At 48.2% G+C, this 12665-nt stretch overlaps 1 protein-coding gene across 21 annotated transcripts in view, besides 1 other annotated feature; it reads left to right on the top strand.

Annotated features, from left to right (window-relative positions):
* INPP5B (inositol polyphosphate-5-phosphatase B) overlaps nt 1-12665 on the top strand; it is an 86361-nt gene that overhangs the window by 44359 nt on the left and 29337 nt on the right. For 20 of the 21 annotated variants that reach the window (NR_158630.1, NR_158628.1, NR_158629.1 and 17 more), the window contains one exon: nt 11245-11341. Coding sequence is in view for 11 of the 21 variants with exons in the window: in NM_001365825.1 (NP_001352754.1) it covers nt 11245-11341 (97 nt within the window). In the remaining 10 variants the exon portion in view is untranslated. Of the gene's footprint in view, nt 1-11244; nt 11342-12017; nt 12084-12665 lie in introns of all 21 variants that reach the window. The other variant, NM_001350228.1, reaches the window with a different exon arrangement.
* Nucleotides 867-1106: an enhancer, noted in NCBI's record as "active region_777". NCBI's record gives its function as "activates an Ori minimal core promoter by ATAC-STARR-seq in GM12878 lymphoblastoid cells {active_cell/tissue: GM12878}" and the evidence as "EXISTENCE:reporter gene assay evidence [ECO:0000049][PMID:35858748]".

Genomic DNA, 12665 nt, shown 5'->3' with positions numbered 1-12665 from the left:
GTAATCCCAGATACTCAGGAGGCTGAGGCAGGAGAATAGTTTGAACCCGGGAGGTGGAGGTTGCAGTGAGCCGAGATTGTGCCATTGCACTCCAGCCTGGTTAACAAGAGCGAAACAACATCTCAAAAAAAATTTTTTTTTTGTAGAAATAGGGTTTTACCATGTTGTCTTGGATTCCTGGACTCAAGCAATCCTCCTGCCTCAGCTTCTCAAAGCCTTGGGATTACAGGCATGAGCCACTGTGCCCACCCAGATTTGTGTTTTCTTCTAGGTGTTGGCAGAATGGAATTGGAGGAGGTGAAAATGGAGGTAGGGAAATCATTAAGTGGGCTTTCCAGAAACATTAAGGGCCTAAACTAAGGCATGACAGTAGGGATAGAGAAGACAGTCAGATATAAAAATATTTAAGAGAGGCTGGGTGAGGTGGCTCACGCCTGTAATCCTAGCACTTTGGGAGGCCAAGGTGGGTGGATCACTTGTGGTCAGGAGTTTGAGAGCACCATGGCCAACATGGTGAAACCCCGTTTCTACTAAAAATACAAAAATTAGCTGGGCGTGGTGGTGCATGCCTGTGATCCCAGCTTTCTTGAGAGGCTGAGGCAGGAGAATCGCTTCAACTCAGGACACAGAGGAGCCGTGAGCTGAGATCACGCCACCACACTCCAACCTGGGCAACAGAGTAAGACTCTGCCTCAAAAAAAAAAAATTTAATAGAGGATTCATAAGACTTGGTGACCGAACATGGGGAAAAAAGGAAAAATATCTATTGTCACCTATTAGATTGGGTGACAAAAAGATTGGAGGTCTGAGGTTAAAAAAAGGGCAGAGTGGGAGTAGGGAAGCAGGAGAGGAGAAAAGACAGGAAGCTGTGGCCAGAGGGGGAACTATGGGGCTGTGTAATGGCAAATCTGGTCAAGAGCTGCTCTGACAGCCAGCTTCCGTGCCAGGTTCTAGAGAGGAGATTCCGAGAAGACCGCCCTGTGGCTGGAAATCCCCCACATCATGCCTTAAAGTTTCCATAGGTAGTGTAATGAGTGAAGATGTTCTGGTCCTTGCTGGACTGTCCTGAGAGACCCCCTGTGAGAAGACATCGACAAGATGCAGGGCCATTTTCCCATCAGTACGCTATGTACCCCTGGCCGTGAACTGAATCCACAAACTGTCAGCCCTTAGGAGATGACCTTTCAGTCTGCTAGGAAGTACCTAAAGAAACATCCTGAGAGAGTCATTAGAAACCACTGACATGCAGAAGCAGAGCACTTCCTCATAACTCCTTAGTTTGAAAAGTGCAGGTGCCTTTCCATATGGTAAAGGCCCCTGAAATTTTGATATTTAAAATCCCCACTTTATAGATGAAGAAACCGAGACCCAAAGAGCAGAAGTGACTTCTCATGTCACACAGGAAGATAGTAGTAGAGCTGGACGTCAGCTGACATTTCCTGATACTTTGCTGTACTTAATACATAGAGTGCCTGCTGTGCACTGGGCAAGGAAGCAGAAGAAAGAAGACCAAGTCCCTGCCTCGCAGAGCTCACGATTTAGTGGAAATGGCATCCAATAATAATGAATAAATATAAGATTTAATATCAGGTCGGGCGTGGTGGCTCATGCCTGTAATCCCGGCACTTTGAGAGGCCGAGGCAGGCGGATCACCAAGTCAGGAGTTCGAGACCAGCCTGACCAACATTGTGAAATCCCATCTCTACGAAAAATACAAAAATTAGCTGTGTGTGGTGGCGCATGCCTGTAATCCCAGCTACTCAGGAGGCTGAGGCAGGAGAATCGCTTGAACCTTGGAGGCAGAGGTTGCAATGAGTTGAGATCGTGCCATTGTACTTCATCCTGGGTGACAAGAGAGAGACTCTGTCTCAAAAAAAAAACAAACAAAAACCGAAAACAAAAATTAGCTGGGTGTGGTGGCATCTACCTGTAGTCCCAGCTACACGGGAGGCTGAGGTATGAGAATTGCTTGAACCCAGGTGGCAGAGGCTGCAGTGAGCTGAGATTACCCCACTGTACTCTGGCCTGGGTGACAGAGTGAGTGAGACTCTGTCTCAAAAAAAAAAAAGAAAAAAAAAAAGAAAAATTCAAAGTAAACATGGAGATCTGTGGGAACACCAGACAAACTTCCAGTTGAAAGTAGTTCAGCCGGGCGCAGTGGCTCACGCCTGTAATCCCGGCACTTTGAGAGGCTGAGGCGGGCGGATCATGAAGTCAGGAGTTCAAGACCAGCCTGACCAACATTGTGAAACCCCGTCTCTACTAAAAATACAAAAATTAGCTGTGTGTGGTGGCACGTGCCTGTAATCCCAGCTACTCAGGAGGCTGAGGCAGGAGAATCGCTTGAACCTTGGAGGCGGAGGTTGCAGTGAGTTGAGATCGCACCATTGCACTCCATCCTGGGTGACAAGAGAGACTCTGTCTCAAAAAAAAAAAACCGAAAACAAAAATTAGCTGGGTGTGGTGGCATCTGCCTGTAGTCCCAGCTACGCAGGAGGCTGAAGCACGAGAATTGCTTGAACCCAGGAGGCAGAGGCTGCAGTGAGCTGAGATTGCCCCACTGCACTCTAGCCTGGGTGACAGAGTGAGTGAGACGCTGTCTCAAAAAAAAAAAAAAAAAAAAAATTCAAGGTAAACATGGAGATCTGTGGGAACACCAGACAAACTTCCAGTGGAACGTAGTTCAGCCGGGCACAGTGGCTCACGCCTGTAATCCTAGCACTCTGGGAGGCCAAGGCGGGCGGATCATGAAGTCAGGAGACCGAGATCATCCCGGCTAACACGGTGAAACCCCGTCTCTACTAAAAATACAAAGAAATTAGCTGGGTGTGGTGGCGGACTCCTGTAGTCCCGGATACTCGGGAGGCTGAGGCAGGAGAATGGCGTGAACCCGGCAGGCGAAGCTTCAGTGAGCCGAGATCGTGCCGCTGCACTTCAGCCTGGGCGACAGAGCAAGACTCCATAAAAAAAAAAAAAAAAGATGAAATGGAAATCTTTTTATGTGTATTATTTTTTCAAATTGCTACTAAGTTGTTAGGACTTAAATACTTATTTGGCCCTAACTACTTAAGTAGAACTGTTAGGGATTCCTTTTGGCCTAGAGGTACCTTGAGAAAATTATTATTATTATTATTTTGAGGCAGAGTTTCGCTCTTGTTGCCCAGGCTGGAGAGCAATGGTGCGATCTCGGCTCACCGCAACCTCTGCCTCCCAGGTTCAAGCGATTTTCTTGCCTCACCTTCCTGAGTAGCTGGGATTACAGGCATGTGCTACCACGGCTGGCTATTTTGTATTTTAAGTAGAGACGGGGTTTCTCCATGTTGGTCAGGCTGGTCTCGAACTCCCAACCTCAGGTGATTTGCCCACCTCGGCCTCCCAAAGTGGTGTTGGGATTACAGGTGTGAGCCACTGCGTCTGGCCTCAGAATTGTTAATCAGGACCCCCATGGAACACCATTATCAACTAGAGTACAATGCTTCTGTACAGTTCCACTTGCCTTTAGTCTTTTTTTTTTTTTTTTTGACAGTTTCACTCTTGTTGCCCAGGCTGGAGTGCAATGGCGCGATCTCGGCTCACTGCAACCTCCGCCTCTCGGGTTCAAGCGATTCTCTTGCCTCAGCCTCCCAAGTAGCTGGGATTACAGGCATGCGCCACCACACCTGGCTAATTTTGCATTTTTGGTAGAGATGGGGTTTCTCCATGTTGGTCAGGTTAGTCTCGACCTCCCGACCTCAGGGGATCCGCCTGCCTCAGCCTTCCAGAGTACTGGGATTACAGACGTGAGCCACTGCTCCTGGTGCCTTTAGTCTTATAGATACCACTCATTTCTAAAGTTACTTAGGTAAACACTTTTTCCCCTACTCCCTTCAATGAGGTGGTTTCATACCTTTGTGATATAGGTTAGACACTTTTGTCATTTTCTGCATTTTACTCCAGAATCTCCTGACGTCCTAAATGATTTTTTAAAATTTTGTATACATTAAGGTTCATTCTTTTTTTTTTTTTGAGACAGAGTCTCACCTTTCGCCCAGGCCAGAGTGCAGTGGCGCGATCTCGGCTCACTGCAAGCTCCACCTCCTGGGTTCACACCATTCTCCTGCCTCAGCCTCCCGAGTAGCTGGGACTACAGGTGCCTGCCACCGCTCCCGGCTAAATATTTGTATTTTTAGTAGAGATGGGGTTTCACCGTGTTAGTCAGGATAGTCTCGATTTCCTGACCTCGTGATCCACCCGCCTCGGCCTCCCAAAGTGCTGGGATTACAGGCGTGCGCCACCGTGCCCAGCCCAGTTTCATTCTTTGTGTTGTAAAAATCTGTGGGTTTTGAAAGCTATAGATACTACCATGTATCACCATTATAGTTTCTTTTGAGTATAGTTTTGCTGTCCTAAAAAGTCCCCTGTTCTTCATTTATTTGACCCCACCCTCACCCCCAAAACCCCTGGCAACCATTGATCTGTTTACCGTCTCTATAGTTTTGTCTTATCCAGAATGTTGTGTAATTGGAATCATATAATAAATAGCCTTTTCAGATGGACTTCCTTCACTCAGCAATATGCATTTAAGATTCATTCATGTATTTTCATGGCTTGATAACTAATTTTTCTAATTGCTTAATATTTTATTATATGGATGTATCACAGTTTATTCATCTGTTGAAATATATCTTGGTTGCTTCCAGTTTTTGGTGATTTTAACGCTGCTATAAACTTTTCTGTGCAGGTTTTTATGTGTACAAAAATTATTTTTCTTGCCATATTTTTTAGAGGTGGGATCTCCCTCTGTCACCCAGGCTGGAGTGCAGTGACAAGATCACACCTCACTGCAGCCTTGAACTCCTGGGCTCAAGTAACCATCCCTCCCCAGCCTCCCAAGTAGCTAGGACTATGGGCATGTGCCACTACTTTTATCTTATTTTATTTTTATTTTTATTTAATTTTATTTTATTATTATTATTATCATTATTTTTAATTGATCATTCTTGGGTGTTTCTCGCAGAGGGGGATTTGGCAGGGTCACAGGACAATAGTGGAGGGAAGGTCAGCAGATAAACAAGTGAACAAAGGTCTCTGGTTTTCCTAGGCAGAGGACCCTTCGGCCTTCCGCAGTGTTTGTGTCCCTGGGTACTTGAGATTAGGGAGTGGTGATGACTCTTAAGGAGCATGCTGCCTTCAAGCATCTGTTTAACAAAGCACATCTTGCACCGCCCTTAATCCATTCAACCCTGAGTGGATACAGCGCATGTTTCAGAGAGCACAGGGTTGGGGGTAAGGTCACCGATCAACAGGATCCCAAGGCAGAAGAATTTTTCTTAGTACAGAACAAAATGAAAAGTCTCCCATGTCTACCTCTTTCTACACAGACACGGCAACCATCCGATTTCTCAATCTTTTCCCCACCTTCCCCCCCTTTCTATTCCACAAAACCGCCATTGTCATCATGGCCCGTTCTCAATGAGCTGTTGGGTACACCTCCCAGACGGGGTGGTGGCCGGGCAGAGGGGCTCCTCACTTCCCAGTAGGCGCGGCCAGGCAGAGGCGCCCCTCACCTCCCGGACAGGGCGGCTGGCCGGACGGGGGTCTGACCCCCCCGACCTCCCTCCTGGACGGGGCGGCTGGCCGGGCAGAGGGGCTCCTCACTTCCCAGTAGGGGCAGCCGGGCAGAGGTGCCCCTCACCTCCCGGACGGGGCGGCTGGCCGGGCGGGGGGCTGACCCCCCCACCTCCCTCCCGGACGGGGCGGCTGGCCGGGCAGAGTGGCTCCTCACTTCCCAGTAGGGGCGGCTGGGCAGAGCGCCCCTCACTTCCCGGATGGGGCGGCTGGCCGGGCAGAGGGGCTCCTCACTTCCCCGTAGGGGCGGCTAGGCAGAGGCGCCCCTCACCTCCCGGACAGGGCGGCTGGCCGGGCAGGGGGCTGACCCCCCCACCTCCCTCCCTCCGGGACGGGGCGGCTGGCCGGGCGGGGGGCTGACTCCCCCACCTCCCTCCCGGACGGGGCGGCTGGCCGGGCAGAGGGGCTCCTCACTTCCCAGTAGGGGCGGCCGGGCAGAGGCGCCCCTCACCTCCCGGACGGGGCGGCTGGCCGGGCGGGGGGCTGACCCCCCCACCTCCTTCCCGGACGGAGCGGCTGGCCGGGCAGAGGGGCTCCTCAGTTCCCAGTAGGGGCGGCCGGGCAGAGGCGCCCCTCACCTGCCGGACGGGGCGGCTGGCCGGGCGGGGGGCTGATCCCCCCACCTCCCTCCCGGACGGGGCAGCTGGCCGGGCGGGGGGCTGACCCCCCCACCTCCCTCCCGGACGAGGTGGCTGCCGGGCGGAGACGCTCCTCACTTCTCAGACGGGGCGGCTGCCGGGCGGAGGGGCTCCTCACTTCTCAGACGGGGCGGTTGCCAGGCAGAGGGTCTCCTCACTTCTCAGACGGGGCGGCTGCCGGGCGGAGGGGCTCCTCACTTCTCAGACGGGGCGGTTGCCAGGCAGAGGGTCTCCTCACTTCTCAGACGGGGCGGCCGGGCAGAGACGCTCCTCACATCCCGGACGGGGCGGCAGGGCAGAGGTGCTCCCCACATCTCAGACGATGGGCGGCCGGGCAGAGACGCTCCTCACTTCCCAGATGTGATGGCGGCCGGGAAGAGGCGCTCCTCACTTCCTAGATGGGATGGCGGCCGGGCAGAGACGCTCCTCACTTTCCAGACTGGGCAGCCAGGCAGAGGGGCTCCTCACATCCCAGACGATGGGCGGCCAGGCGGAGACGCTCCTCACTTCCCAGACGGGGTGGTGGCCGGGCAGAGGCTGCAATCTCAGCACTTTGGGAGGCCAAGGCAGGCTGCTGGGAGGTGGAGGTTGTAGCGAGCCGAGATCACGCCACTGCACTCCAGCCTGGGCACCATTGAGCACTGAGTGAACGAGACTCCGTCTGCAATCCCGGCACCTCAGGAGGCCGAGGCTGGCGGATCACTCGCGGTTAGGAGCTGGAGACCAGCCCGGCCAACACAGCGAATCCCCGTCTCCACCAAAAAAATACGAAAACCAGTCAGGCGTGGCGGCGCGCGCCTGCAATCGCAGGCACTCGGCAAGCTGAGGCAGGAGAATCAGGCAGGGAGGTTGCAGTGAGCCGAGATGGCAGCAGTACCGTCCAGCTTCGGCTCGGCATCAGAGGGAGACCGTGGAAAGAGAGGGAGAGGGAGACTGTGGGGAGAGAGAGAGGGAGGGGGAGGGGGAGAGGGAGAGGGATTTTATTATTTTTTAAGAGATAGGGGTCTCTATTGTCCAAGCTGATCTCAAACTCCTGGGCTCAAGCAGTCCTCCTGCCTCAGCCTCCCGAATAGCTGGGACTATAGGCACAAGCCATGGTGCACCCAGCATACTTTCAGATCAGTAAATATCTAGGAGTGTCATGGGTAGAACATATGGTAAGACTGTTTAACTTTTTAAGAAACTGCCAAGCTGTCTTCCAAAGTGTCTGTATGATTTTCCATGCCTACTATCAATGGATGAGAGTCATGGCTCCTCTGCATCCTTGTCAGCAATTGGAATTGTCAGCTGGTTTTCTTTTTTTTAAATTTCAGTCATTCTAACAGATGTCCCCAATACACCATTACTAACTCAAATACCTTAGCTCTCTAAGCTTTATTATAGCTCAGTGAGAGTAAAGAAAGAGAAGTAGAATCCAGCTGGGGATTGCATTTCTAGAAATAATTATTAAGTAACTATGGGTTAGTAGAACTCTAGACATAACCCATTCTAGTTCTCCTTTCTTATTTTTGTTATATTTTGGAGACAATGGGAAGATTACCTGAAACATTCCAAAAGAATGCTACAGACTTGAACTTGGATGTTACGTATTTAAACATATAAGGCACACAGGGGCCGGGTATAGTGGCTCATGCCCGTAATCCCAGCACTGGGAGACCTGACGTCAGGAGTTTGAGACCAGCCTGGCCAACATGGCAAAACCCGTCTCTACCAAAAATACAAAAATTACTTGAGTGTGGTGTTGCGTGTCTCTAATCCCAGCTACTCGGGAGGCTGAGGCAGGAGAATAGCTTGAACCCGGGAGGCAGAGGTTGCAAAGAGCCAAGCTTGCGCCACTGCACTCCAGCCTGGGCAACAGAGCGAGACCCTGTCTCAAAAAAAAAAAAAAAAAAGAAAAAAGAAAAACATAGACGCATGGGGATTCAGGTTCATTGCGCATTTAATATTGAATTGTGTGACTGTACTGCCTATAATGTGCTGGGTGGTATGCTGAATGATGGGGATACAGTGATGCATAAATCAGACAAAGTCTAGTCCTCAGTAAGCTTACAGTCTAACTGGGAAGAAAAAACACCTACAGTACACAGCAATCAAGACTGTGATGGGGAGTACAGGGAGCTATGGAAACACCAATGTCAGGGCATCTAACCAGCCTAGGAGAGGTTAGAGAAGTCTTCTTGGAGGAAATGACCTCTAAGATATGGCCTATAGCAGGAGTTGGTGAAGTGCAGCCTATAGGCCAAATCCAGCCTGCCATCTGCTTTGGTACAGCTCATGAGCTAAGAATGATTTTTTGCATTTTTAAATGTTTGAAAAGATTCAAGAGAATAATGCTTTGTGATATGTGAAAATTGTATGATATTCAAATTTGAGCATCTTTAAATAACATTTCGTTAGAATGCAGCCACACTCACAGCTGCTTTTGCACTATAGCAGCAGAGTTGAACAGTTGCAAGAGACTGTATGACCTGCAAAGCCTAGGATATTTACTCTGTGGCCCTTTACAGAAAAAGTTTACTGACCCCTGGCACAGGATGGGTAGGAGTTAGCCTTATAAAGCAGAATGAAGAAGAGGGAAGTTGCTTTCTGACGGGATCTTTGCATAGCTGCAGTAACCTTAATATGCTTAGAGCATGGCATCAAGGAGGTAGGGGCTGAAGGACTGTGGTGAGTATTGGGGCTAGAGCAGTGGGTAGGATCCAGACTGGGAAGAGCCTTGGCAATTGTATGTATGGATTTGGGTTTATCCAGTATGAAGCCTTTAAAAGATTTAAAGTGATGTGATCCGATTTACTTTTTAAAAAATCCTCTGGCCACAGTGTAGAAACTGGGTTGGAGAGGGTGGGGTGAGAAAAGAGGCAGGGAAACTAGTTGAGGCTTTTATAGTCATTCAGGGGAGATGTTGGTAACCTAGACTAGCACAGTGACACTGGGGATAGGAATATATTGGTTTGAGAGGCATTTAGGAAGCAAAATTGAAAGGCTTTGGTGTCTTAGTTTTTAGCCTTAGTCTGTAGGCTGTTATAACAAAATACCATAGACTGAGTGGTTTATAAGCAACAGAGATTTGGCTGGGTGTGATGGCTCACACCTGTAATCCCAGCACTTTGAGAGGCTAAGGCAGGAGGATCATTTGAGCTCAAGAGTTCGAGACCAGCCTGGGAAACATGGCAAAACTCCATCTCTACAAAAAAATACAAAAAGTTAGCTGGGCATGGTGGCTTGTGCCTGTTAATCCCAGCTACCAGAGAGCCTGAGGTGGGAGGATCACATGAGCCCTGGAGGTCAAGGCTACAGTGAACCATGATCAGGCTGCTGTACTCCAGCCTGGAGACCCTGTCCCAAAAAAAAAAAAAAAAAAAAAAAAAGAAAAAGAAAATAATAAAAAAACATACAGGAAAAACACCACAAAACAAAAGCAGAGATCAGAGATTTATTTTTCACAGTTTTGGAGGCTGAGAAGTCCAAGATCAAGGTGCTGGCAGATTCAATGTCTGGTGAGGGCCTGCTTTCTGGCTTAGTGGCAGCTGTCTTTTTTCACTGTGTTCTCACATAGCAAAAGGGGAACTCTAGTCTCCTCAACCCTTATAAGGGCACTAATCCCAATCATGAGGGCTCCACCCTTGTGACCTAAACACCTCACACCTAAAGGCCCCAACTCCTAGTATGTTATCTTGGGGGTTAGGATTTCAACATATGACTTTGGGCAGGGGTATAAATAATCAGTCTATAGCATTTGGTGATTGATTGGAGGCATTGAGGTGTAATTATTTTCATGTTCAAATGATTATGCTTTCTTTTTTCAAAAGTTTTTTTCTGGTTCATGTGAATGCATGGTTGAGAAATCCATGTTTAGTAATAGTCTTCGCAGCAAAATTCTTCAGTGGTGTTTCATTCCTCCAGAGCTCCTTCCCATAACTTGGGTTTTAAAATCACATCTCTCTGTGACCGCTTCATGTTGTTCCCTGTTGACAAGAGATCTGGCTTTTAAAGAGCAGAGAAGCTATTGGCAGATTAATTTTCCTTTCCAGGTTTATCTTGGTTTAACGACTTTCCCAAAATATTTCTGGGTTGGGCCCTTGGGCTCTTTGGTTTTCAAGGCAATTTGTCAACAATGACAAGCGCTTCTCATTTTCTAGAGCTCTTAGACTATTTCCAGTTTTAATCTCTGACCCTTGCCTTTCTCCTCTTCAGAGTGGAAGTCGCTATGTTATGTTTTATAATATGTTGTATTGCTTTTAAAGTGCCTACTCATATGTCAACTCAGTTGACCCTACATTAAACCTGTGAAGAAGGCAGGACAGGTCAAATTACTGAGATTGAGAGAGGTTAGATGGCTTTTCCAAAGTCAGGAGGTAATAAATAATAAAGCAGGTGATAAAACTCAGGTTTTCAGATTTCATGGTTTTATTCTTTCCTTAATGTACCCTTTATCCAAGAAAAGGGAGTTAGACTAGCTGGAATAGTTACACTTTCAGCAGTAAAGATACCTGGATGAGATACTTTTTTCTCCTTCTGTGTATGGTCTGTGGGACTTCACCCAGACATCAGCATAGGCCCTTTGAAGCAATATGTGGACTACCAATAATTCCTAGACTACAATTTCCGAAGCTGTTGTCTGTATATTAAAGCATATGTATGTTTCATTTATTTATTTATTTGTTTGTTTGTTTGTTTTTGAGATGGAGTTTTGCTCTTGTTGCCCAGGCTGGAGTGCAACGGCACGATCTTGGCTCACTGCAACCTCCGCCTCCCGGGTTCAAGCGATTCTCCTGCCTCAGCCTCCCGAGTAATTGGGATTACAGGCATGCACCACCATGCCTGGCTAATTTTGTATTTTTAGTAGAGACGGGGTTTCTCCATGTTGGTCAGGCTGGTCTCGAACTCCCGACCTCAGGTGATCCACCTACCTTGGCCTCCCAAAGTGCTGGGATTACAGGCATGAGCCACCATGTCCAGCCTATGTATGTATATTTTAATTTCTTCTCCTTCCCTTTAGGTGGTTCTAACTTTGATGGTTTGAGACCAAATGGGAAGGGAGTGCCTATGGACCAAAGCTCCAGGGGTCAAGATAAACCAGAAAGCTTGCAACCAAGGTAATGCAACTCTCCCTTCACTTGTCCCTTGTAGGACTGAGGTTCTCCTCACAGTACTGAGACCATTTTGGGTATAATGTAAGTTGTCCCAGGGTAGCTGGCCTAGGAAGTGTCCTTTTTTTTTTTTTTTGAGACAGAGTTTCGCTCTTACTGCCCAGGCTGGAGTTCAGTGGCATGATCTCGGCTCACCGCAACCTCCACCTCCTGGGTTCAAGTGATTCTCCTGCCTCAGCTTTCTTGAGTAGCTGGGATTACAGGAATGTGCCACCACACCTGGCTAATTTTGTATTTTTAATAGAGATGGGTTTTCTCCATGTTGGTCAGGCTGGTCTCGAACTTGTGACCTCATCTGATCCTCCCATCTTGGCTTCCCAAAGTGCTGGGATTACAGGCATGAGCCACCGTGCCTGGCTGGAAATGTTCTTAATAATACCTGACATTTATTTGCACTTACTGCCAGGCACCCTGCTCTTATTTGGACTATCTTATTTTAGCCTAAGAGGTAAGTACTTTTTTCTGTTTTACAGTTAGGGAAACTCAGGTAATGAGAAGTTATATAACTCACCCAAGGTCCCAGAATTATCAAGTGGTCAATCTAGGATTTGGAACTGGCAGTCTAGCCCTCCCTTGAAAATGTAGATTAGAAACGTTTGATTTCACTCTTTCATTCTTTTAGGTGTTTCCTGACTCTGAAGTGACTTTTTTTCCTGTTTTATTTACTCTTTCCTGACTCGCCCCTGAGGTGTGTTATTATATAAATATCTGAAGTCTGTACTCCAGTGCCCCCTACTGAATATCTCCAGAATCTGTCTGGTCAAGATAAAACACTTACTTGTATCAGTATTTTAGTTACGACTATAAATACAGTACAATGCAAATAATAATAAAATATAAATTCTCATTGCCTTTCTTTTTATTTTGGATTATTCCTGTGGAATAGATGTACAGAATAGAATGATCAAGTTAAAGGACCTAGAGGGTTTTACAGTTTTTTTCTTTTTTTTTCTTTTGAGACAGAGTCTCACTTTGTCACCCAGTCACTGCAGCCTCCGTCTCCCAGGTTCAAGTGGTTCTTGTGTCTCAGCCTCCCGAGGAGCTGGGATTATAGGCATGTGCCACCACACCCAGCTCATTTTTGTATTTTTGGTAGAGATGGGATTTTGCCATGTTGGCCAGGCTGATCTCGAACTCCTGGCCTCAAGTGAGTTGCCTCCCTTGGCCTTCCAAAGTGCTGGGATTACAGGCATGAGTCACCATGCCCGGCTTGTCAATTACATGATTGAATCCCATACTCTGCCACCATTCATGTGGGTGAGGCGTTAAT

The sequence above is a fragment of the Homo sapiens genome, chromosome 1, assembly GCF_000001405.40.
Source record: "Homo sapiens chromosome 1, GRCh38.p14 Primary Assembly".
Taxonomy (NCBI): Eukaryota; Metazoa; Chordata; class Mammalia; order Primates; family Hominidae; genus Homo; species Homo sapiens.
This window is presented reverse-complemented; position numbering and strand designations above follow the sequence as displayed.